We start from the raw sequence: 24,989 nt of genomic DNA, 5'->3' as shown, positions 1-24,989 counted from the left end.
TCCCAGCACTTTGGGAGGCCGAGGCAGGCAGATCACGAGGTCAGGAGTTCACGACCAGCCTGGCCAACATGGTGAAACCCTGTCTCTACTAAAAACACAAAAATTAGCCCAGCGTGGGATTACAGGCCCAGCATGCGCCTGTAATCCCAGCTACTTGGGAGGCTGAGGCAGGATAATCACTTGAACCTGGGAGGCGGAGGTTGCAGTGAGCCAAGATCGTGCCATTGCACTTCAGCCTGGGCAACAGAGTAAGACTCTGTCTCAAAAAGAAAAAAAAAATTAGCTGGGTGTGCTGGTGTGCATCTATAGTCCCAGCTACTTGGGAGACTGAGACAGGAGGATCGCTTGAGCCCAGGAGGTCGATGCTGCAGTGAGCTACAATTGTGCCAGTGTACTCCAGCCTGGGCAAGACCCTGTCTCTAGAAAAAAAGAACCATCTCCCAGAGTTGTATAATTCTTAAACTGCTTGTGCTTAGTCCAATGCTGGGTACATACAGAACCGCTGATAAGCTGGAGCTGTAATTATTATTATTATTATTATTATTATTACCACCATCGCTATTATCATCATTAACGAGTCAGAGATGGAATAACAGGGAAGTAGGAGCTGAGGAGGACAGATGGGGATAGTGTTTACAAGGTAAGAAGTGTTGGATGTTATAAGCTGGGGTGCGGATATTGGGGTGGAGAGAAGAGAGAGACTGACTGAGAGACATTGAGAAAGGCTGATGGAAACTGGCCCCTCCTAACTGGGCGATGAACCCCAGTGATACGAAACAGTGGGAGGCCCTGTGGCCCCTGGGAATAGAGAAGCAGCCACACTTGCTGGGCAGGGGTGAGGCGGGGGGAGGCTCCCAGGTTCTGTATCCCGAGCTGGGACTGGGGAGAGGGCCGTGGCTCTCACGGATGGCTCCTGACCTTGCGCTACCCTCTTCTCGCTTGCCATTGCTGCCCTGGCCCCTGGCCTGGGGGATGGGTGGGGTGAGCTGGCCCAGTCCCGCCCCTCATAGGCGCTTATACTCACACGTGCCCCTCTAGGGCTGCGTAAACAGGATGGGTGCCTGGGTCAGCGGCTCCCTCCCTTGGCCTTCCCTCCCACTCGTTCCCTGGGGGTGGCTGGCGCGCCTGGCTGCCCTGCTCCGCGCCCAGCTTTCTCAGCCGGGAGCAGCCTGAACGCTGAGACACCCTGCTGACCACTCAAAGGGCTATGGCCACCTCCTTCCCCGACACCGAGGGTCCCCCCGGGGGCTCTCCCCAGAATCTCAGAAACTGACACGCAGCCCCGTGTTTGCCAGTCTCTCTCTGTGGGCTGGAAGGTGTGGAGGAACAAGAAGGCAGTCACCTGTAGGTGGCAATGCGGGAGGGGAGAGGGAGAGGAGAGGCTGAGGTGCTGAAACCGAGAAAGGCCAGGCCGAGGACGGGCAATGCCTGTCACTCTGGAGCCCCTGAGCCAGGCTGGCTGAGCCTGGGTGGGTCCTGTCCCCTGGGGCTTCCCTGTCCTTACTCCTTTGGTGGGGTCCTGCCAGTAACTCCTCTCTTCTAAGTCTGCCCCCACCCCACCGCCTCCAGGAGCCAACGACAACCTGTCTCCTTAGATGCCCCTGCCCCCACCCAGCTCCCCGAATGCCTGGGGTTGGGAAATGGGAGCACTTTTGCATCACCTCATCCATTTCTCCCTCCCTCCCTGATGCGGCTCACTCTCTGTTTCGACAGAGACTCTCAGACTCACAATAACAGCTGATTACCCTATTGGTGGCTGGGCCCTGAGTCACTGCGGGGAGGGACCTCAGGTTGCCCAGCCCTGTCACCTTCTCCCAACCTAGAGTATAAGGAGTAGTGACAGGGAGGTGGACTCTGAGAAGCCCAGGCAGTTGAGGACAGGAGAGAGAAGGCTGCAGACCCAGAGGGAGGGAGGACAGGGAGTCGGAAGGAGGAGGACAGAGGAGGGCACAGAGACGCAGAGCAAGGGCGGCAAGGAGGAGACCCTGGTGGGAGGAAGACACTCTGGAGAGAGAGGGGGCTGGGCAGAGATGAAGTTCCAGGGGCCCCTGGCCTGCCTCCTGCTGGCCCTCTGCCTGGGCAGTGGGGAGGCTGGCCCCCTGCAGAGCGGAGAGGAAAGCACTGGGACAAATATTGGGGAGGCCCTTGGACATGGCCTGGGAGACGCCCTGAGCGAAGGGGTGGGAAAGGCCATTGGCAAAGAGGCCGGAGGGGCAGCTGGCTCTAAAGTCAGTGAGGCCCTTGGCCAAGGGACCAGAGAAGCAGTTGGCACTGGAGTCAGGCAGGTTCCAGGCTTTGGCGTAGCAGATGCTTTGGGCAACAGGGTCGGGGAAGCAGCCCATGCTCTGGGAAACACTGGGCACGAGATTGGCAGACAGGCAGAAGATGTCATTCGACACGGAGCAGATGCTGTCCGCGGCTCCTGGCAGGGGGTGCCTGGCCACAATGGTGCTTGGGTGAGTGGCTGTGGGGCTGCATGTGGAAATGGGAGGCTGTGGGCTGCTGGGCTGAGATTCTTGGGAAACGGTTGAAAGGATGGATGGATCTCTTACTTGCAGGCTTCTGGGGCAGCTTCCTTCTATGTTCTGCCCCCCTCCTATGCCACCCTGGAGTCCCTCTGCCTGTCTCTCTCCTGGTCTCTTTATGATTTGCCCTGGCTCTTCTCTACCAGGGTCAGAGATGGTCCCACTAAGTGCAGGTATGTTGTTCTTGCAGGAAACTTCTGGAGGCCATGGCATCTTTGGCTCTCAAGGTGGCCTTGGAGGCCAGGGCCAGGGCAATCCTGGAGGTCTGGGGACTCCGTGGGTCCACGGATACCCCGGAAACTCAGCAGGCAGCTTTGGAATGAATCCTCAGGGAGCTCCCTGGGGTCAAGGAGGCAATGGAGGGCCACCAAACTTTGGGACCAACACTCAGGTAAAGTCACCCCCAGACCTGCTACCTGCCACCTCCCTCCCTCCAAGCCCACATGCTCCGCGTGCCTCCCTGGTCCCTCTGGATCCTACTCTCAGTCTCACCCTCTCTGCAGGGAGCTGTGGCCCAGCCTGGCTATGGTTCAGTGAGAGCCAGCAACCAGAATGAAGGGGTAAGAGGAAGGGGCTGGGAACAAATGAAGAAGCCACTGGGTGCAGGCTACAGAGAGCTGGGGAAAGACAAAGAGGAAAGCAAGATGGGGGAGTGGAGGGATTGGGGTGAGAGGAAGAGATGGGGCTGGGCGAGGTGGCTCACACCTGTAATCCCAGCACTTTGGGAGGCCAAGGCACGTGGATCACCTGAGGTCAGGAGTTCAAGACCAGCCTGGTCAACATGGTGAAACCCTGTCTTCACTAAAAATACAAAAATCAGCCGGTCATAGTGGCATGCGCCTGTAATTGCAGCCACTTGGGAGGCGGAGGCAGGAGAATCACTTGAACCTGGGAGATGGAGGTTGCAGTGAGCCGAGATCGCATCACTGCACTCCAGCCTGAGCAACAGAGTGAGACCCTGTCTCAAAAAAAAAAAAAAAAAAAAAAGGAGGAAGAGACGGGCCTGGGCCTGGGGAGGAGGCAGATGGGAAGGGGAGGTGGGAGAAACACATTAGGAGAAAGGAAGCCAAGCCCCAAAGAATGGGAGAGGCCTGGCCTGTGTCCATGGCCGAGGCCAACGTCTCCAAACTCACCGTCCCCAAACTCACCATCCCTTTCCCTCGACAGTGCACGAATCCCCCACCATCTGGCTCAGGTGGAGGCTCCAGCAACTCTGGGGTGAGTGGAGAGGGGCAACCCAGGAGTTGTGCACCAGGAGGAAATGGAGAAGTTCTGCTCCCCTTAGACTGGGCATCATGGAATATGGCCTGGGTGGAGAGGGAGGGAGGAGGGGCCCGTCTTGGTGCTCTGTCTTTAATCCCAGCCCTGCTCCCTTCCTGCCCCTCAGGGAGGCAGCGGCTCACAGTCGGGCAGCAGTGGCAGTGGCAGCAATGGTGACAACAACAATGGCAGCAGCAGTGGTGGCAGCAGCAGTGGCAGCAGCAGTGGCGGCAGCAGTGGCGGCAGCAGTGGTGGCAGCAGTGGCAACAGTGGTGGCAGCAGAGGTGACAGCGGCAGTGAGTCCTCCTGGGTGAGTTTGGCACCTCTGTGGAAGGCTGAGATGGGGTGAGGCCCTAGTGGTCCCTGCCGGGAGAGGGCTCCAAGTTTCTCTGAAAGCTGCCGCTGCCCGAGGATGGGCGGCCTCGCTGATAGTCGTCACCCTGAGGCTCCCTCAGCCTCCTGTTCCCCACCCATGCTGTGCCCCTGATGCGCGCACTATCGTTTCTGCCAGAGCCACCCCACTGCTTCTGACTCTGTATCCCTATTTTCCACTCTGTGATGGTGGGGACGTTATCCCGCCTGTCTAAGCTCTTGCAGTCAAGTCCACTTGGCAAGTCTCAGGAGACCGTGGGGTGGCGGAGAAAGAGGGGGACATGGGAGAATATGACACTTGTCTGGGAAGCTCCCAGGAGAATGGGGGCAGGACTGTGATCCGGGAGACCTACGGACGCTGACAGAGCGACGGTGCAGACGACATTCACACATGGGGCCCCTGCACGATGGGTGTGAGGGCAGGAAGGGGCGCTGTGACCCCGCAGCTGCCACCCCAGGGCCCCGGGCCTCACTGACTCCAGAGCCGGCAGTCTCTCCAGCCTCCTGGTCAATGGCCTGTCCAACCCCTTGGCTGACGGCCTCTCCCATCCCGTGTCTTGGAGTCGAGCTGGAGAGGGAGCCACATCTGGCTTCCTCGGGGGTCGGGAAAAGTGTCAGACAGGAGGAGGTGCGTGGACACAATAAGCCGAATAACCTGAGCTGCTCTCATGCGCCGCTCCCCGTATGATCCTCCTCTCCCCCATCTAGGGCAGTTCTGGGAATGGTGACCAAGGCAGCTACGGCCGCTCCCAGGTGAGGGCTCTAGGGTCCCTTCCACTTGCTGCCCCCTGGTGGCAGGATCGCGGCTACTGCGCGGCCGGGCTCCAGGGGTTCCCACCCCCGGCCTGCGGTGGGCAGCAGCTCAGGTTCTCCAAATCATTGCGTAGTTCCGAATACCCTCGGCCACACCTGGCCTTCTCCATGCTCGGAATAACTTCCTGCAGCGACCAACAGGCTAAAGAGGGGGAAGGTCTGGAGGTTGGAAAGAGGACTGGAATCTGATTGGGGTTCCAACAAATCTGTAACACCGCTGGGAACGACTGGGTCCCCTTTAGGTCCTTTAGGACAGCGTTTGAAATCTTGCTTTCCCCTGCAGGGATCCAGCACCGGCTCCTCCTCCGGCAACCACGGTGGGAGCGGCGGAGGAAATGGACATAAACCCGGGGTGAGTGGCTGGCGTGAATCTCCCACCAACCGCGGGAAGGAAAAGGAGAGCAGCTGGTTTCACTCGCAGGATCGGGGAGCCAAGGCTCCGCGGAGATGGGGCTGGATGGCCGCGGAGGTGGAGCGGAAGCGGCTCGCCCCAGGGTTAAAATGCTGCCATTTTGGGGCTGGGACTGGTCTGGGAGGGGACTGAGGGAAAGTCTCCCCTTTCTCTCCCCGGCAGTGTGAAAAGCCAGGGAATGAAGCCCGCGGGAGCGGGGAATCTGGGATTCAGGTGAGAGCCAAAGTCTCTTAAGTCTCCTGGGGACTGCAGTTCCTGCCCAGGACTGTGCCCACTCCTCCTAACTCAACTCTGCTCAACCCCCTCCTGCCTTGTCTGCAGGGAACTGACTATTTCGGCAGAAGAAACCAAATGCACTCCTAAAAATGCTAACGATTTCCAAAGTACTAATTAATTGCAAATCTTGCTGTGATATACCTCACCTTATACCACAGATGGGGCTGGGAGAAATTCCATGTAAACCGGTCCTTTTAGAAGCACAATTGTCTTAAATGTCCTCTATCCAGCCGGGGAACAGACTGTGGTGAACTCTGGGGGATTCAGAGTGCTTTGGAAAAACATTCCCCCCAGTTATGCTGGAAATGTGGGCTTTATGTCAGCACCTGTGGTGCTGAGAGTTAGTGTCACGGAGATCTTGTGAAAGTGCAGGTTGCTCTAACAGGGCTGGGTGGGGCTGAGCCTGTTAGCCGCGTTGCTAACAAGCTCCTGGGTGAGGCGTTGGTGGGAAAGGACCCACGTGGCCAGGGGCAAGGCCAGACCGGAGGTGCTGGGGCTGAGTAGAGACATCTCTTTTTAGATAATCTATGAGGGATACTAACCTTTTATGGGAACAAACTGGTTTTTTTAAAAAAAAATTTCTTCCCATTTGTAACCCTCTTTCTAGTTTGTGTTTTTTTCCTTTTTGAGATGGAGTCCCGCTCTGTTACCCAGGCTGGAGGGCAGTGGTGCGATCTGAGCTCACTGGAAACTCCACCTCCTGGGTTCAAGCGATTCTCTTACCTCAGCCTCCCGAGTAGCTGGGATTACAGACGCCAGCCACCACCTCTGGCTAATTTTTTTTTGTATTTTTAGTAGAGATGGGGTTTCACCATGTTGGCCAGGCTGGTCTCAAACTCCTGATCTCAGGTGATCTGTCCGCCTCTGCCTCTCAAAGTGCTGGGATTACAGGCATGAGCTACTGCACTCGGACTTTTCTAGTTTTTTAATATACCTCAGTTTTAAGTATATAAGTAGTCAAAAAGCAGCCATCTTTTCCTCTATGGTTTTTGCTCTTGGTGTACCGCTTTAAGGTAATTTTCTTCTAGCACTATGCATACTCCTGCAATTTCACTTTTTCAGTTTAACTGGGATGCATCTGGACTTTGTTTTCCTATATGCTGTCTAGTCCCACCCCTCCATCTAACCAGACTTACCCTACGCTTTGTATCCGAGCTGTGTCCTCCTTTATGAGGGGAAAACTGGTTAAAAACAGAGAGGAGGAAATTGATGAGCTAGAACTAAAATTTTCCCCCAAAATACTTCACTGATATTCCCATTCCCATGTATTCAATCACTTCAACCACTGATTTAAAATGCCTCTTGTAAATACCTTAGTATTTTGGGGAGTTTCTGGGAATTCTGTCGGACAGGACTGCTTTATTTATGGTAGCTTTAGAGTATGTTACTATCTACCTCTTATCTTCACTTACCATTTATCTTTTCCAGTGTTTTCTTACCTATTCTTAAACTTTCATTCTCCTAAAAAAATGTCAGTGTTTGGACCAGTTCCAAAAGAGAGTGCCATTAGGATTCTTAGAGGAATCATATTAAATCAATACATTAATTTTCGGGGGTGGCCTCAGGATCTTCAGCAGGGGTCTGTGTTTCTTTGTCTCACCCTGCAGGGCTTCAGAGGACAGGGAGTTTCCAGCAACATGAGGGTAAGAGGATGGTAGATGTGGGGTCAGAGACTGTGCCGGTAGTAAGTGGGGTAGAGGTCTGTTCTCCAGGAGCAATACTGGCAGACAGGTGGTCCCACATCCCTGCCAGGTCTACCTGAGAGCTCTGGGAACGAGGAAGTACTGATGGGTCTGGCCATGTTTCACAGCAGATAAAGCAGGACTCCAGAGGAGCCCACCTCTCCCTTAAGAGGGGACCAGCCAGTCTACTCTATGCCGCCTCAGCCCCCACTGGCTCTCCAGCTAGCATCTCCTTTTTTTACTAATGCCAATCAGCCCAGACAGGGTCCTTCAGTTTGAATCAATTTAGTGTAACAGCCTGGCCCACTCCAGCTCCAAAGCCAGGGGAGAATTCGGATGCTTTGCTGGCAAAGCCCTCCCTGATGGATTTTGGGCGGCTTGCAGAAATGAACATAAACAGAGATGGCGATGTTATCTATGGACATCGTAAGTGAGCAGCCACCCGACCCACAGGAGCTTGAAACGAGATCTCAGGGCAGATGGAACTTCCCCGAGAGAAGGACCTCTTTCTCAGGCCTCTGGGAAGTCCTCTGTCATGCTCATGTCTCAGTCCCCCGATTCAGGAATCCCTCGCCGACACCCTGCTTCCTTGCCCTCTCGTCCCCCTGCCCGCCTGCCTCCCCATCAACTCCTCTCCGTTTTCTGTCTCCCTAGGAAATAAGCAAAGAGGGCAATCGCCTCCTTGGAGGCTCTGGAGACAATTATAGGGTGAGCCTAGGGGCAGGCAGGGTTGGCTTTAGGAGAAGGGATGGTGAAGCATGCTAAGATCCTGGGAAAAGAAACAAAAATATCAGTTTCTTCTTGCAAGCTGCTCTGAATCTGCGTCCAGTGACCATCAAGAGACCAAAACAGGGTTCTGGGATCCCCATCTCCATCTTTGGTTCATTCATTCCTTCCTTCCTTTTGATTTGGATCGGAGCCATGTTACTTTTGTAAGGGGAGAAAACAGATAAAAGTAACAGAAGAATGGTCAAGGGGATTTCCATACTTAGGGAGGCAGTGTTGAGAAGGAGAAAGTCACTGAGCTTTGAGGTAGAAGATGAGGTTTCGAAAGCCAGCTCTGGCCAGGCACCAGCATAACTGTAATCCCAGCACTTTGGGAGGCTGAGGTGTGGGGATCATTTGAGCCCAGAAGTTTGAGACCAGCCTGAGCAACGTAGGAAGACCCTGTCTCTACTTTTTAAAAAGAAAATAATAGGCCATGTGCAGTGGCTCACACCTGTAATCCCAGGTAGCTAGGATTACATGCCTCAGCCTCCCAAGTAGCTGGGATTACAGGCATGTGCCACCATGCCTGACTAATTTTGTATTTTTAGTAGAGATGGGGTTTCACTATGTTGGCCAGGCTGTTTTCAAACTCCTGACCTCAGGTGATCCACCCACCTCGGCCTCTCAAAGTGCTGGGATTACAGGCGTGACCCACGATGCCCAGCCTCAAAAAAATTTAAGATATATATTAAAATCACCACCAGCTCTATCATGTCATCTGTATATCTTCAGGCAAGTCAGCTAACCTCTCCGAGCCTGAGCTTCCTCCAGTAAAATGAGGACAGTGAAACCTGACTCACGCAGCCTTCAGTTACTGTACAGCTTTCCATGTCACCACCAGACCAAGGTGTTGTGGAGTCCAGACTCTGGAGACAGATGCTGCATAAGGCATGGTGCTTGGCGTGCCGTGGGACTACACGTTAGCTAATCTCATTTGCTTGAGGTGTTTTGGGGACAGACCAGGATGGAGGCAAGAGTCTGAATATTGAGATTCAGGGGACTGGGTGGGGTTCCATGGGAGCAATCCATTCTAAGAAAGCTTTCCCAAGTGAACTTTTTGGTGCTGTGTAAGGAAGAGAAGGCAGCTTTATAGAGAGGAGGACAGGAAGCCTGGACCGAGGTGGGGATGAAGCAATCCGGGGCAGGTTGACAGGTGGCAGGCATGATAGGAAGCATAAGCCTTGGACATCGGTCCCCCTTTTCCCCACCCAGGGGCAAGGGTCGAGCTGGGGCAGTGGAGGAGGTGACGCTGTTGGTGGAGTCAATACTGTGGTGAGTGGAGGCAACACTCCACCTTGGGCTGGGACCATGGTGTCACACAATCCTCGCCTCCCCTCCTGCCACTCAGATCTCCCGACTCTGGCTCACAAAGTGGGTTCTTCTCTCATCCCATATCTCCTTGGTTCCATAGAACTCTGAGACGTCTCCTGGGATGTTTAACTTTGACACTTTCTGGAAGGTGAGTTCTGCGAGATGGCTCTGTTCACTCGCATTTGGAAAACCAACCCCTGCCCTTGGCCCCACAGTCTGGGGTCCTCTTTCTAAACCAACAGTCAGCAGTGGCCCTTGACCTCTCTCGGCCAATTACCTTATGACTCAATTTGGCCATTCTTCTTTTTGTTTCCTCCATAGAATTTTAAATCCAAGCTGGGTTTCATCAACTGGGATGCCATAAACAAGGTAAGGGCTGGACATCTTCGTCGGAGAGGGCTATAGGGAAGAAAGCTAAACCTCCGCTCTGTGAGCTGGGGAAACAGTGATGCTGGCCACTGAGGAAGCATTTAGGCCAGTGCTAAAAACAAAAACTAAACACACTGGGGGTGGAGGAGGGAGGACAGAGGAGACCTGAAAAGAGGGGGAGAATCTGGAGCAGCTGAGATTGAGGTTGAGCAGAGGGGACGGGCTTCTTTGCTGTTTCAGCATATAGACCCGAGCAGGTCCTGAACCTCACTTTCCCCTTTGAGATGGGGAAGGTTAAGGGGAGAGTAGATTGACTCCTAGAGGGCACATGGAATGAGGAGTGAGGTGGAGCTAAGAGGCCCCAAGAGGAAGGGCACCCAGAGAAAGGAACCAGCACTGGCCGAGAGCCTCAGGGGTGACAGGCATTAGTCTCTCCCGCACAAACAAAAACACAGCTGGGGCGCAGAACCCCTCCCTCCTTCCTCCCTGCCTACCCTTCCGTCTTGCAGGGGAACCCCTGGCCAGGCTGCTTTGATACCTGAGTAGCACAGGCACCTCTAGAGTAGAGGGGGCTGGAGTGGAAGGGAGGGGAGGAAGGACAGGTGGACAACCCATGCAGACACACCCCCGGCAGAAGCTGCGATTCGTGATTGGAGGATGGGTTTTTGAGACACTCTATTTTTTTTTTTTTTTAAGAATATGAATTAATTGTCAAAGTTTAAACATGGAGAGACTTCACATAATGATTTGGATTTCTGGTTTCTTTCAAAAACTTTGGTAACACTGGGTTCCATTTCCATGGGGTGGGGTTAGGCTAGAGCTGAGAAACAGCTGCTGCTTGGCCCAGGTGGGGGGTGTTGGGAATGGGTGGGGGGGTCACTCCCTAGTGGCCAGACTGTCCCTACCTGTCACAGTCATTTTAGCCACCTGACTGGCCCCTGTGAGCAGTGGAGTTTCTGGCCTTTAATGTAAAAGAGAGAAGACTGGGCTCAGGAAAATCTAAGTCTGACCTTTTAGGAAGGAGATTGAGGAGACAGGAGAGTACAGATGTTCCCACCCAGCTACAGTGGATTCATGTTCTCTGTTTCTTTTCTTTTTTCTTTTTCTTTCTTTCTTTCTTTTGTTTTTTTTTTTTTTGGTGAGACGGAGTCTCGCTCTGTCACCCAGGTTGGAGTGTAGTGGTTCGATCTCAGCTCAATGCAGCCTCTGCCTCCTGGGTTCAAAATGATTCTCCTGCCTCAGCCGCTCCAGTAGCTGAGTTTACAGGTGCCCGCCACCACACCCGGGTAATGTTTGTATTTTTAGTAGAGATGGGCTTTCACTATGTTGGCCAGGCTGGTCTCGAACTCCTGACCTCCAGTGATCTGCCCACCTTGGCTTCCCAAAATGTTGGGATTACAGGCATGAGTCACTGCATCTGGCCTCTCTGTTTCACAGAGAACGGTTTCTGGTAGGAGCAAGACTCTTTCCTGGGTCACAGGGAACTTAGGGTCTGATGGGAGAGCCGGGGCACATACAGACACTTCCCAGAGAGCCAGGATAGACACCCTGCCAGTTTTGCCCATCTAGGGCGGCAGTCGAGGGAGTGATCGCAGTGAGGCAGGATCCATCTGGGCCAGCTCCTCAAGGGGCAGATCTCCTAGAAAGCAGGGCAGGGCAGAGGTGGGCAGGGGAGAGAATGGAGCCCCATTCTTCACAGTGGGGTGAGGGAGCTGAGGACTTCAGCCAGAGTGAGGAGGGAGCAGAGGGGAACGCAGTGTAATGTTCCTGACGATGCAGGGGGTTCTTAAGCCCAAGCCAGGATATCTGGGTTTGTTTGGATAGCAGTGGTGGGCAAAAAGGTCCCTGTAGGTTTCTGGAGCAGGGGTCTCTTATACCCTTGTGCTGGCTCACAATGCCCTGGAATTCCTATTTCTCAAGCTCTCTCTTAGAACCTATTTCTGGCCAGGCGCGGTGGCTCATGCCTGTAATCCTAGCACTTTGGGAGGCCGAGGCTGGCAGATCACTTGAGGTCAGGAGTCTGAAACCAGCCTGGCCAATGTGGTGAAACCCCATCTCTACTAAAAATACAAAAATTAGCCAGGCGTGGTGGTGTGCGCCTGTAGTCCCAGCTACTTGGGAGGCTGAGGCAGGAGAATCGCTTGAACCTGGGAAGCGGAGGTTGCGGTGAGCTGATATCGTGCCACTGCACTCCAGCCTGGGCGACAGAGCGAGACTCCATCTCAAAAAAAAAAAAAAAAAAACAAAAAAAAACCTGTTTCTTTGCCCAGGACCAGAGAAGCTCTCGCATCCCGTGACCTCCAGACAAGGAGCCACCAGATTGGATGGGAGCCCCCACACTCCCTCCTTAAAACACCACCCTCTCATCACTAATCTCAGCCCTTGCCCTTGAAATAAACCTTAGCTGCCCCACACTCCTGGCCTCTGCTCCTTTCTTACGTCTCCGCTGTTATCCAGGGTGGTGTGGAAGGGGTGGCTGCAGCCCCACAGCTTCGGGAAACGGGCTGGAGGAGGCCCGGCAGGTGGAAAGGGGACACTCTGAGGCAGGTCCTAGTCTTGAGGTTTTGCTAGAATTAGGTTCTGCTGGAGGCTGGGGAACTTGGGATAGAAAACATTGTATGCTCTGGGACAGGGAGAGTTGGTTAGTGCCTCTCTCTCTCCCTGTGTTTCCCAAAATGGTTTCCTGGTGTCCCTAAAGACTCTCAGCTCCTCCCATCCCCAACCTTAGTCACAATGACATTCTGAAGGTTGAGATAGGGCAGTAGCAGGAGGAGGGGTGGGTGAGTGGGCCCAGGCTCTCTGCTAACCTGCTCCCCGCCTTTCATCCACAGAACCAGGTCCCGCCCCCCAGCACCCGAGCCCTCCTCTACTTCAGCCGACTCTGGGAGGTAGGAGAATTCTTGCTGTTTGAAGAACTGGGGGCCTGGCCCTCCTGACTCTCCCCAAGCCTCCCTCAAGGCAGCCACCCTCTGCTCCAACCACCTGTTTCAAAACTCCCCCCCTTTTTTTTTTTGAGACAGAGTCTCGCTCTATCACCCAGGCTGAAGTACAGTGGCACTATCTCGGCTCACTGCAAACTCCTGCCTCCTGGGTTCACGCCATTCTCCTGCCTCAGCCTCCCGAGTAGCTGGGACTACAGGCGCCTGCCACCGTGCCCGGCTAATTTTTTTTTTGTATTTTTAGTAGAGACAGGGTTTATACCATGTTAGCCAGGATAGTCTCAATCTCCTGACCTCGTGATCCACCTGCCTCGGCCTCCCAAAATGCTGGGATTACAGGCGTGAGCCACCGCGCCCAGCCAACTCCCCCTCTTCATTTTTGAGACAGCTCATCCAAATCTTATCACCAAATCTTATCACCAATACCATCTCAAGTGCTGACACCCTCAATCTCCCACGTGCTTACCTTCCTCCAACCCCAAGCCACACCCAAAAGCTCCTTCCTACCCGAGATCTGGAATCCCCCCAATTTGCTGCATAGACCACCCCGTGGGTTCTGCCTCCCCGGCCCACTCTGCCCTCCTTCTCCCTGCAGGATTTCAAACAGAACACTCCTTTCCTCAACTGGAAAGCAATTATTGAGGTAAGGGGGGCAGGACTTCTCAGCTCTGGGACACAGGGTTCGGGGCCCTGGGCGAGCCGCTGACCCAGGTGTCTGTCCCAGTTTCTTCCCCTCCCTTCCCACTTTCCCAGGCTTTGTGCAATCCCGAGTGGGGGCGGGGTGAGAGGGAGAAGCCGTGAGTCACTGAGGAGCAGGGTGGGAGGACCTCCCTAGCATAAAAGCCGAGGCCGAGGGCTGGGGCCTCCACAAGCACATGAACATGAAGCCGGCCACTGCCTCTGCTCTGCTCCTGCTCCTGCTGGGCCTGGCCTGGACCCAGGGGAGCCACGGCTGGGTGGGTACCGCAGGGTGCACAGGTGCGGGGAGATCGTATTGAGGGGAAGAAGGGGCCTAGGCTGCGGCATGGGGAGGACAGCTGAGGTGGAACGGGAGGGCGGTGTGCAGGGGTCAGGTCCCTGTCTAGTGGAGGCAGCTGCTGAGGGTCTGAAGACCTGGGTCAGGGAGGATGGGGAGAACCTCTGGGCGGTGCCAAAGACCACACTCCAATTCTGCATGGCCAGTAGCCTTTGAGAAACAGGACCCGTGGGCACTGAGACAAAGGCTGCCTGCTCCCGTGTCTACGTGTGCCAAGTATATGAGGCTGGACAGGTGGGGCCCTGCAAAGGGGGAGGTCGAGGCGCTCCAGCTAAGTGCAGTCATGCATGCATGTGTGAACAGGGTGGCGTGTTGTCTGATGTTTCACGAAGAACCAGGATGCTGATCTCTAACTGTAACTAATTTAATTTTTAAGTAGACCAAGCAAAAAATATCTGGAGGCCCATGGTCAACCAGTTTGTGACCTCAGGGTTAGGGCTTGCAGTGGGGTTTAGGTTCAAGGTCAGGTATGGATAAGGCAGAATTAATGCTGGAGTCAGGACTTCACTGTCACTCTGTGTGTGTGTGTGGCAGGGCGGACGGTCCAAGTGGAGAAGCCGTGATGGCAGGAACTGAACTTCTTTTCAACGCTTAGAGTTTCTCCTCTTGCGCTGGGGCTGGGGGGGGTGTCCGGTGCATCTGCAGTGTCTTAAGTTGCTTTATCTGTTTTCTTGTATTTCTCTTCTTTTGCTTCCTGTGGTCCAGAGCTAACCTAAGCACGCAGCTTCTGCAGATAACAACCCCTCCTTCAAGCACCCTGTGGGGCATGGCGTCGGTGTGCAGGGACTAAGGGCCTACGGGCATAGCAGCAGGACTTGGTGCAGGCAGAAGGTGGGCTGGGCTGCAGTGCCTGCGTCTGCCCCAGAGGAGCCTGCATGGCTGCAGCTCACTTGTTCTAGCTCAGTCTTAGGCTGGGGCTGCCAACTCTCCCACGGCATGGGTGGGGAAGGTGTTGCCAAACCTGGTTCTCTCCCTGGCTCCCAATGCTGAGTGTGGATATCTGTCTTCTATCTATCTGGGCCATCAGCTCCTCCAGGCTCACTGCCTTCTCTATAGGTAGCACGTGGAAAGGGGTGGGGTGAGGGAGAAACTGGGGCTCTGAAAGCCCGGCAATGCCCGCACGACTGCGGAGGCACGAACTGTGGCCCCTTCTTCCTTTCAGGGTGCGGACGCGTCATCACTGCAGAAACGTGCAGGCAGAGACGATCAGGTGAGTCTCTGTCCTCAAGTTACCCTGCAGGGCCCTTGGTCCCCCTTGGCCTTGCTCCCGGGTCTGGGCAATCTGAAATTCTCTTTCACTCCTCCATTCAATGGCTTTCTCAGCCGGGTGCAGGATGGCAGGAGGTGGCAGCTGTAACTTCCAAGGTGAGACATCTACCATGGACCCGCTGGGTTACGTCCTGGCACTTCTTTTCTTGGTCTCCTACCCTCACCTCCCAAGTAACACTTGAAGAGTTGGCAGAGGTCTTGAGGGCAGGAGGAGGAGTAGGAGGAGGAGGCGGCGGCCATTTGGGCTAGGACAGTAAAGGCAGGTGAGGGTGGGGGCCCTGGCTGGCTGGAGGAGATTGTATAAAAGAAAACACGTGACACAAGGAGGGGAGCAGGCAGGTGTTTTAGGAAAGGTCTGGTCCAGGCAGGAAGGTGGGATGTTTATTCCAGAGCAAAATGGCCTTCGTCCGTCTGTTCTAACCGCCATGCCCACTTCTTCCACAGAACTACAATTACAACCAGCATGCGTATCCCACTGCCTATGGTGGGAAGTACTCAGTCAAGACCCCTGCAAAGGTGAGACCGGCAACCACCCTGTCTTCCCGCTGGGGGCTCTGCATGAGGGATGGGGAGAGAGGCTTTCACTGCCGGGGTCCTCTCGGTTGGTTGCCGGAGGCCGGATCCCGCTCTCTTTGAGTCCAGGCCTCCCCACCCCTTTGCAAGGGAGACTCGGGTTCCCTGAGACAGTTTGGAAGTGGAGGGCAGGAGGGTTCAATGCGCCTCACACCCACCCAGTCAGAAAAGGTTAAAAAGGAGCAGCAGCAGCAACAGAGAAAACTGAGAACCAACACCCTCTCCAAGAAGAATATAGGCTTTAAAAAATCATGACACCTGCAAAACACGCAAGCAGCTCTTCCTCACAGGTTCCCTCTCTGTGGACCTTTTTTTGCGGGGGAAGATGGAATGGAGGGCGAGGAAAGCAGACTAGCACTTAGGGGAGGCCGGCCTGTGGATGCCTGGTTGGCGGTGAAATGAATGCTTTATTCCACAAAGGAAATGAAAAGAAAAAATACGTGAGAATTTGGTTTTATTCCGTTGCAAAGAAGGCAATCTCATAACATCAGTAAATGAATATGCTAAGTACAAATTTGGCTGACAAAGCAACAGCAGGCTGTGTATTTCCATCTCTCATGACAATAAAGTCCCCGCCCTTGGGGAGAGGACCTTCCACTGAGGGACGAGAAACTACAGGCTGGTGAGAGGAGGGACATGCAGCTTCTACTGCCTGTGGCTTCCACTCTGCTGAGTTATCTGTGGCTTCCACTCTGCCGGGTTATCTGTGGTCAGTGTCTCCCTACCTGGCAGGCCAAAGCGAGGCCTATGCTCTTTTGACCCCCTTGGTCAGTACGTGCCCAGGAACCATGTTCAATATCATCTTGGATCAAGTGCACTCAGGATGATAAACGTGCTGTGAAACCAACTCCACAGCCTGAATGTCCACAGTCAGACTGGAAAACCTTGGTGATAGCCCTGGTGTGAGCCTGCCCTTGCTGCTGGGCCCTTCATGAGCGTGGAGGCCATGGCAGAGTACAGGGAGGCCATGACCCCACATCACTTTCCTTTGATCTTTTTGCAGGGGGGAGTCTCACCTTCTTCCTCGGTGAGTATGGGGGCCTGATCTTCATCTGGCTGGAGAGAGAAGGGGCCTGAGGCCAGAGGGTATGGAAGGGACCCTGTGGTGGCCACTCAGACTTTCTCTTTTTCTGGCAGGCTTCCCGGGTGCAACCTGGCCTGCTGCAGTGGGTGAAGTTTTGGTAGGTGAGTGTCAGAGTGAGCCGACCCAGGCCACATCCTGGCAGTGGAGGCACAGTCACCCGGGGCAGGGCCAGGATCTTGGTATATCCTCAGATCTCAGTGGGCAGCGACATGAAGTCAGGTATGCTCTGGGTGCGTGCTCTAAAGGTGATAAGGAAGAGGGGACCTCATGGTGGGGTGTGGAGAAAGACCCATAATAAAGTGATCTAGGGCTGGGTGCAGTGGCTCATGCCTGTAATCTCTGTGCTTTGGGAGGCTGGGGTGGGAGGATCACTTGAGTCTGGGAGTTTGAGACCAGACTGGGCAATATAGCAAGACCCCATCTCTAAAAGAACAAAACAAAACAAACCAAAACAAAACAAACCATTCCAGCCTGGGAAACATGGCAAAACCCCGTCTACTAAAAATACAAAAAATTAGCCAGGTGAGGTGGTGCATGATTGTAATCCCAGCTACTCTGGAGGCTGAGGTGGGAGAATCACCTGAGCTTGGGAGGTTGAGGCTGCTGCGAACTGCGATTGCACCGCTGCACTCCAGCCTGGGCAATCACAGTGAGACCTTGTCTCAAAACAAACAAACAAACAAATGAAAAACCTTAGCCAGGCATGGTGACACATGCCTGTAGTTCTAGCTACTTGGAAGGCAGAGGCAGGAAGATCGCTTGAGCCCAGGAGTTCAAAACTGCAGTGAGCTATGATCACACCATTGCACTCCAAGTCTGGGCAACAGAGGGAGACCCTGTCTGGAAAGAAAGAGAGAAAGAGAGAGAGAGAGAAAGAGGGAAAGAAAGCAAGCAAGAGAGAAAGAAGAAAGAAAATGACCTAGGACCCTCGGAAAGCACCTTAGGGTGGGACCACATAGGCACAGCTCTGAGAAGATGGTGTTCTAGATGGAGCACAGGGACCGGGATAGAGATGTTACAGGGGAACTGTGGAGAAAAGAGCCTCCTGGTGGAAGGGTTCAGAGGTGGGACGCAGCGAGGCTGCATGGGCGAGAGGTGATAGCTTGGCTCGGCAGAACCACAAACTCTGTTTTAGGCGGAGCAAAAGTGAGGGGCACCACAGGCGAACAGGTAGGACAGCAAAAGAATGGTGGGTGCCCAGACGCTGGGTGAAAAGATGCCCCGTTTCCGCAGGCTTAGGAGTGGCCACGTGCTACCATTTGATTTTCTTTCTTCTAGGCAATTTCTTGCAACCACCACCGAGGCCCCGAAAAGCACTGGTCGTCAGGGAGCTCCTCCCCTTGGCCCCCAGCCTGTGCCAGCCCTGGCCCGGCTGCCACACCTCTGTTTCCTAGGCTGGGGACCCAGCTTGTCTCTCCTTGTTTCTTCCCACTGCACTGTGGTGCTTCAGTGGCCACCAGCCTCGTCACATACACCAGCATCTTTCTGTACCTCCTCCCTTTGGTGACCTGAAGTCACTGTGACAGTTCTCCAGGAAGGAGGAGCTTCCTACTTTTGAGTTTCTCTGTGGAAATAAAACATGAATCTTGTTTCCCTACGACTTTCTCAAATTTTATTCTTTAATGCTATGTTGATGGCCTGGCTCAGGGAGGATGGAAGAGTGATTCAGGGGCAGCTAATCTGCCTTCTGCCTGAAACTGGTATAAAGCACAGAGGCTGAGAGAGATGAGACCTGGGTTTTATTTCTGACAAGAAGCCTGCATTGTGCCTCAGTTTCCTCATCTGTTAAAAAAAAAAATCATTGCCCAACCTATATCTGAATACCATTCTTTTTTTAGAGACTCAATCTCACTCTGTGGCCCAGGCTAGAGTGCAGTGGCACGATGTCGGCTCACTGCAACCTCCGCCTCCTGGATTCATGCAATTCTCCTGCTTCAGCCTCCTGAGTAGCTAGGATTACACGCATGCGCCACCACACCTGGCTAATTTTTGTATCTTTAGTACAGATGGGGTTTCACCATGTTGGCCAGGGTGTTCTTGAACTCCTGACCTCAGGTGATCTACCCGCCTCAGCCTCCCAAAGTTGCTGGGATTACAGGCGGAAGCCACCATGCCCGGCTTGAATACTGTTCTTTTTTTTTTTTTCTTGAGACGGAGTCTCGCTCTGTCACCCAGGCTGGAGCGCAGTGGCGCGATCTCCGCTCACTGCAAGCTCCGCCTCCCAGGTTCACGCCATTCTCCTGCCTCAGCCTCCCGAGTAGCTGGGACTACAGGCGCCCGCCACCACGCCCGGCTAATTTTTTGTATTTTTTAGTAGAGACGGGGTTTCACCGTGTTAGCCAGGATGATCTCCATCTCCTGACCTCGTGATCCGCCCGCCTCGGCCTCCCAAAGTGCTGGGATTACAGGCGTGAGCCACTGCGACCGGCCTGAGTACTGTTCTTTTTGCACTTGAAGCAGCCACAGGTGTTTTGTTGGCCTGAAAAAGCGACAATGGAAATATTCAAGTCAGGAGCAGGGGGAAAGAGGTTGTTCAAAACGGGAGGTCAGTCCCAGAAGGTCAGGGAGAGGGCAGGAAACAGGAGCGAGGTGCTGATAGAGACTGTGCTTCTCCACATGGACAGGCTGCCGTGGGGATGGGGGCGTGGTTGGGGAGACGCGCTTAGGAAGTTGGGGGCACTGGATCTAACCCAGGGCCTTATCACGGGCACTGACTGCCCTGTGTTTCCAGGATGCAGAGGGAGGGAGGCAGAACACTTCCACCCCATCACTGTACCAATGAAACAGGAGAGGCTGCGGCGCAGGCTGAGCCAGGCTTATCCCACGCTGAAGAGCCCTTGGGACTGGGCTGGGGGTCTGCAGTAGGAGCCCCTAAGTCCCACCAAGCTGGTCCAACATGCCCGGATTAAGGATCCCCCACCCCTTTGTCCCCCTGGGATCCCTGCAGGGGACAGGAAGTAAAAGGTGGACAGGAGGCGCCCTGCCAGCCTAAGTGACTCCCTCCAGGTTTGAGTTCCCTGAGGGCATGGCCCCCATCTGCCTAGGTCACTCTCCACCCACAGGACAGGCACAGGGCCTCAAACAGTGCATGTATACGTGAAAGAAACCCGGCCCAAAACTGACTTGAGGAGACCGAGCTGACCCAGTCGGCCTGCCTGGGAGGGCCGCTCCTCTGCTTGGCCTCCCTTCTCTCCTGGGTCCTGAAATCCTGATGCTGGTTTGCACTTGTCCTCCGGAGTTCAACGCCATAGGAGGGCCTTGCAGTACCTCCTAGAGGCCACAGGGGGGAGAGCGCGGGGCCCTCCCAGGGAGGACGCTCCGTCCTCGCTGCACAGAGAGCTTCCCGGAGCGTGGGTGGGGGTGGAAACCCGTGGGGAGCTGAAGTCTCCTCAGCCCAGTCACTGAGGCACCGGGGGAGACGCGGAGGTGAGCAACACGGTTCTTGGCTCGTGAGATGTTCTTGGCCCAAAGAGCTGAAAGCGGCTCTTGAAAGCTTAGAGTGACACCCGAGGCAGGCTAAGGTCCCCTGGCATGAGGGGCCCTCCAGTGAAGGGTGGGTACCCCTTTCTCCCTTCAGGGCTCCTCCAGTGACCTCCTGAATCCCCAACTTCCATCTTATTCTTTAGATCCCGTTCTTCCACAACGCCCTAGAAGGAGCCCCTGCTCGGAACCTACCACCAGCTTCTCATTAGCCCTGGAATAAAATCCCCATTCCTCACTACGGCTCTATGCGATGGGCCTGGCCTCCCTCTCTAACGTCCCTCTGGGCCTACTGGCACAGGCCATCAGGGAACATGGGCGGCTGTTACCAAGGTCTTCAGAAAGCCAGAGCTTCATCTGCTTTTAGGACTAATTTCAAATGTCCCTCCCTGGGCCACCTTTTAAAATTTGTATTTTAATAGAGACGGGGTCTTGCCATGTTGCCCAGGCTGGTCTGGAACTCCTGGGCTTGAGTGATCCTCCTGCCTCAGCCCCCTAAAGTGCTGGGACTACAGGTGCGAGCCACCGCACTCGGCCCTCAGGCCATCGACCAAGGAAACCCTGTCAGCATCATATGGCCCCGTTTTCTTCGCAGCACCTGTCCTTCTCTGAAGTCATCTTGTTTGCGTATCTATTTTTGGTTACATTATGATGTCTCCTTCGCTAGGACATGGGATCTGTAGGGCAGGTCTTTTGTCCATCTACAGCCCCCAGTACCAAGAGCCAAATAAATATTTACAAATTAGCCAATGGAGAGAGGGATTGGAATTAAGTGGGACCAATCCAGGAAGACTTCCTGGGAGAGGTTTAAGCACCGGGCACATAGGGTGGGCGGCAAAGGAAGAAACCACACCTGCTGGTGGATGAGGCTGCTTTCTTGGTTGTGACAACACCGACGGAGGGAGGAAGGGATGGGACAGGGATGCCCTGAGTTCTGCCCCCTAATACTCCACATCCCAGTCCCCTCTCTCTCCCAGGATTCCCGGCTTCCCACCTAGTGTTCGCCAAGGCCCCGAAAACCTAGTGTCTCTCTCTTGGAATCCCCACTCCCTCCCTAGACCCAGGAGGCTGGCTGCCAGGCCCTAGGTGTGTCTCACAATGGGGCAATCCAGGCTGGGCCTCGCCTCCTACCCACACTCAAGTTCTGGCAGATTTGGGGTGGGGTGGGGGCAGGCCTGTGGGAAAACAGAGGTTTACTGGTATTCTCAGTGAGGGAGCTAGGAAGTCAAGCCGACCTGGAGATGTGATGTTGCAGAGCCAGTCTCTGCGGCTGCCTGACTCCATTAACCCTCCGTGATTCATCCAAAGCTGAGCTGCGTATCGGGCAGATTTTCCTGCAGCCCATCACCTGAACTGCTGGGACCCTCTCCCAGGGAGAACTCCCTGCCCCTCTCTTTCCCCATCTGCCCAACCCAACTCAGGGAACACAAACTACTCAGGCAGCGTAGATGGAGGAAGAGGGAGGAGTTTGGAGAGAGACACTGGCTTCTAAAGTTGGCCGCTTACAGCAAAAATCACGTCAAGATGGAACTAGCTGGGCGCCGTGGCTCACTCCTGTGATCCCAGCACTTTGGGAGGCCGAGGCAGATCACTTGAGGTCAGGAATTTGAGACGATCCTGGCCAACATGGTGAAACCCCGTCTCTGCTAAAAATACAAAAATTAGCTGGGTGTGGCGGCGCACGCCTGTCATCCCAGCTACTCGGGAGACTGAGACAGGAGAATCACTCCTCCTGGGAGGTGGAGGTTGCAGTGAGCCGAGATCATACCACTGCACTCTAGCCTGGGCAACAGAGCAAGACTCTGTCTCAAAAACAAAAAACAACAAACAAACAAAACCCCAAAAAACTACCCTCAGAAGGTGCCAGGAAGATGCCAAGTGGAAACAAATCATGAGTCCAACACAGACAGCTTTTTTTCCAGCATAGGAAGAGAATTTCTTTGGTTGAGCACACAAAGCAGTTGGCCTGTGTTTAGAGGTATGATACAAAAAGTACCTATTTTTAAACAGCAGAATGTTGAACACTAGATCCAGAAACGGAACCCTATCTGTAAACACATACTTGGTGTGGCAAGATGATTATACTACTGGAGGCATCTGGAAACGGAGGCAATCACAGGTTCATTCGGGGGCTGATGCCACTAACCTTCATTCTTCGTTTTCATTTTGTCAAGAGTGTGCAGTTTGATTCATTTAAATGAATGCACCTATGCTTGGGGCTGCCACCTCTGATGGTGCAGGCTATGCACCACAATGGACACTGTAAAGGGGACCTGTGGGGGTTCGATGCAGTCTGCCCCCCACTCTCAGGACATGGGTCTAATTCACACAGGGTGTTACATGTGCTGTAACATAGCCTGTCCAGCATAGAGAGGAGCAATATAGGTTCAGGCTCTGGAAGCCCAGCGTTCTAATGCTGGTCCTGTCACATTCTGGCTGTGTGACCTGGGGTGAGTTATTTAACCTCTATATGCTGTGGTTCCCCCGCCTATAGAATGTGAATAATTATAGTACCCACCTGTGTCAGAATCACTGGGACATTTCAATGAGATCGCGTATTTGGAGCACTTAGTACAAGGTCTGCCATATAGTAAGCCTCAGTAACTCAGCTAACATTGTTATCAATACCATCGGGTGGAGAGGAAAACATAGGGAGGGCAATTTATTGTCAAAGGAAAATCACAGATTAGACTCTAGAGCAAAACAGAAGACAGCGTTGGATTGACCGATGCTCTAGATCACCCAGGCCAAAACTGGCACTGGGTCCCCTCACCCGCCTGTCAAATCGTAGCTGGTTATACAACATCAGTTCTCTTTTGTCTGATTCTTCACTCCCTGGAGTCGACCCTATGCGGATGGAATGGTGGCTAATGAGCTTTTTCAGTCACTGTTCGTTAATTAGCAAGGATTCATTACACAGAACTTGTGTCCTCCAGAAAACCTTTTGGGAGGTGCTCCACCCACCTCAGTCATTCTCTAACTCGTCCCCTCCAGGAGCACCAACTCTGTGACATCCACTACTGTGTGGCCATCTGGGCTAAGGGAGTGTTCTCTAAGCAGTGTTCCCTCAGGTAGCTCTGCAAAGGGGAAGCTGCCATTATAAAATCAGAGGAGGCTGAAGAGGATGTCTGGGACTGGGGTGTGGGGGCAGCGTGAGGATGGAGCTGAGGTGCCCAGCTTCTGGGGTTCGTAAAGGTTGTTCATGGATGCCGTCCAGCCCTCCCACCCAGGGCCACCGCCACCGTGCATTGCATCAGGTTGTGTTGATAAGGTCTTGCTTTTCCCTGACAGCGCCGGTCCATGTCCCAGCCCCTCCCTGTTACAGCAGGAGCCGGTTTGGCCACCTGAACCTCACTGTGGAGAAGGCTGCTTGACTAGGACATTGTGTCACAGTGAGGTGATCCAACTTCCAAACTGGGGGTGGGGCAAGGTGGGTTAGGGCAATGACATGGAGTGGGCACTCCAGGTTCAGGGTACCTGGATCCCATCTCCAACTGGGCACCCTAAGAGCTGTTTTTTGTTCCCTGTTCCTTGTCATCTTAGCTCAAGACAGTCATTTCTCTGAAGACCCAAGAGTAAAAGACGGGCAGTTGGAAAATGGAAAGGTTCAGCCCCATGAAAGGAAAATGTACACTGTGGCTGAAGGATGCCTGAATACTAAGTCTAACGTATCATATCTGACCAATGCTGACTCTACCTGGGTTCTGTGTGAGCCATGGTTCTAGGGGGATGTAAAGCTGATCAAGATACAGCTCCTGACCTCAAGGAACTTGATACTCTAAAAGGGAAACAAGGCGAGAACATGACTTACTTAGATACAATGCCAGAGACATACAAACGAATGAATATGGGAATTCTGTGAAAGGAAAGGTGTGGAGAGAAGGACTGGGCATTGCAGGAAAAATCTGGGAAGCTTCATCCAAGATGAGTGTTGGGTTCTGAGAACTGGAGATGAGAGAAGGCCATGTTAGGAATAAGGAACAGCATGGCCGGATGCTTTGAAGAGGGAAAAAGAAGGATATAGTTGGTAAGGGGTCTAATTTGGCCAGAATGTGAGGTATGTACAAAGCTAGTAAAGGAAGAAGTTATAAAGGTGGGTTGAGTTCAGAGCATGGACCACCTTCAATGCCAAGCTAAAGAGTTTACATAGATTTTGGTAGGGTGGAAGAAAAGGCCTGAATGAGCATGGAGCGCAGGCTCACACCTATAGTCCTTTGGGAGGTCAAGGCAGGCGGACCCCTTGAGTCCAGGAGTTTGAGGCCAGCTTGGGCAACATGGCGAGACATTTTCATCTCTACGAGAAAATTAAAAAAAAAAAAAGCTGCAACATCTCTACAAGAAAATAAAAAAGTTAGCTAGGTGAGGTGATGCGTGCCTCTAGTCCCAGCTACTAGGGAGACTGAGGTGGGAGGATTGCTTGAGCCTGGGAGGTCAAGGCTGCAGTGAGCTGTGATCACACCACTGCACTCCAGTCTGGGCAACGAGTGAGAGCCTGTCAAAAAAAAAGAAAAGAAAAGAAAAGAAAAAGCCTGAATTCTAAGAGAGGAATGAGGGATATAACGAAAAGAGACAAAGACAAAAGGAGAGGTTGCTTGGGTACCACTGCCAATCCCTTGGAGGGACAGGTCCAACCTGTCTCTGTCCCAGCCCCATCTGCATGAAGAGACCCATTGCAGTGTTACCTTCCACGTGCCTGGGGCAGAATGCGAATTGAGAAATCCGAGGCAAATGAGGAACAGTCCATGCCTCCCCCTCCCAGAGCCCCGGGGGTGGGCGACAAGATCTGGGGGTGAGTCAGTGGGGTGGGGACCCCATTTCTG

General features: G+C 53.8%; 1 protein-coding gene and 1 long non-coding RNA gene across 57 annotated transcripts, besides 4 other annotated features; both read left to right on the top strand.

Annotated features, from left to right (window-relative positions):
- Positions 1-1,856: 1,856 nt before the first annotated feature.
- DMKN (dermokine) lies at positions 1,857-18,286 on the top strand. 56 transcript variants are annotated; one of them, XM_011527495.3, is made up of 23 exons: positions 1,857-2,456; positions 2,716-2,916; positions 3,029-3,085; positions 3,693-3,743; positions 3,913-3,985; positions 4,037-4,095; positions 4,866-4,910; positions 5,254-5,322; positions 5,545-5,595; positions 7,266-7,301; positions 7,995-8,048; positions 9,321-9,380; positions 9,520-9,567; positions 9,741-9,788; positions 12,620-12,676; positions 13,323-13,370; positions 14,926-14,973; positions 15,087-15,128; positions 15,477-15,548; positions 16,609-16,632; positions 16,743-16,790; positions 17,825-17,859; positions 17,968-18,286. In XM_011527495.3, exons 1-21 carry the CDS (start codon positions 2,031-2,033, stop codon positions 16,788-16,790), a joined length of 1,617 nt encoding a protein of 538 aa, XP_011525797.1. In that variant the 5' UTR covers positions 1,857-2,030; the 3' UTR covers positions 17,825-17,859; positions 17,968-18,286. The 56 variants fall into 56 exon arrangements, 48 of the variants coding, with proteins under 48 accessions (XP_011525797.1, XP_011525800.1, XP_011525802.1 ...); XR_935872.3 differs by lacking the exon at positions 17,825-17,859 and having other exon boundaries at positions 16,743-16,908; XM_011527498.3 differs by lacking the exon at positions 15,087-15,128.
- Positions 5,018-5,327: an enhancer, noted in NCBI's record as "active region_14482". NCBI's record gives its function as "activates an Ori minimal core promoter by ATAC-STARR-seq in GM12878 lymphoblastoid cells {active_cell/tissue: GM12878}" and the evidence as "EXISTENCE:reporter gene assay evidence [ECO:0000049][PMID:35858748]".
- Positions 14,388-14,887: an enhancer, noted in NCBI's record as "H3K4me1 hESC enhancer chr19:35991521-35992020 (GRCh37/hg19 assembly coordinates)". NCBI's record gives its function as "activates a minimal SCP1, AML or CMV promoter by ChIP-STARR-seq in naive H9 embryonic stem cells {active_cell/tissue: H9 hESC(naive)}" and the evidence as "EXISTENCE:reporter gene assay evidence [ECO:0000049][PMID:30033119]".
- Positions 14,888-15,389: an enhancer, noted in NCBI's record as "H3K4me1 hESC enhancer chr19:35991019-35991520 (GRCh37/hg19 assembly coordinates)". NCBI's record gives its function as "activates a minimal SCP1, AML or CMV promoter by ChIP-STARR-seq in naive H9 embryonic stem cells {active_cell/tissue: H9 hESC(naive)}" and the evidence as "EXISTENCE:reporter gene assay evidence [ECO:0000049][PMID:30033119]".
- Positions 18,287-19,057: 771 nt separating the features above from the next.
- On the top strand, positions 19,058-20,914 carry LOC124904703 (uncharacterized). Its single transcript, XR_007067242.1, has 2 exons — positions 19,058-20,115; positions 20,316-20,914. It is a non-coding gene; the product is annotated as an uncharacterized LOC124904703 (long non-coding RNA).
- Positions 19,714-20,660: an enhancer, noted in NCBI's record as "H3K4me1 hESC enhancer chr19:35985748-35986694 (GRCh37/hg19 assembly coordinates)". NCBI's record gives its function as "activates a minimal SCP1, AML or CMV promoter by ChIP-STARR-seq in primed H9 embryonic stem cells {active_cell/tissue: H9 hESC(primed)}" and the evidence as "EXISTENCE:reporter gene assay evidence [ECO:0000049][PMID:30033119]".

Source organism: Homo sapiens, chromosome 19 (genome assembly GCF_000001405.40).
Source record: "Homo sapiens chromosome 19, GRCh38.p14 Primary Assembly".
Taxonomy (NCBI): domain Eukaryota; kingdom Metazoa; phylum Chordata; class Mammalia; order Primates; family Hominidae; genus Homo; species Homo sapiens.
The sequence above is the reverse complement of the archived record's forward strand: the minus strand, read 5'-3'. Positions and strand labels throughout refer to the sequence as shown.

What these genes read in the sequence shown, in the direction of transcription:
- DMKN (XM_047439685.1), top strand. Translation starts at nt 2,031, where the DNA reads ATGAAGTTCCAGGGGCCCCTGGCCTGCCTCCTGCTGGCCCTCTGCCTG. An exon ending in ACTGGGATGCCATAAACAAG is followed by an intron (nt 9,789 to 12,619) that starts GTAAGGGCTGGA and finishes TTTCATCCACAG; the next exon opens with AACCAGGTCCCGCCCCCCAG. An exon ending in CAGTCAAGACCCCTGCAAAG is followed by an intron (nt 15,549 to 16,608) that starts GTGAGACCGGCA and finishes ATCTTTTTGCAG; the next exon opens with GGGGGAGTCTCACCTTCTTC.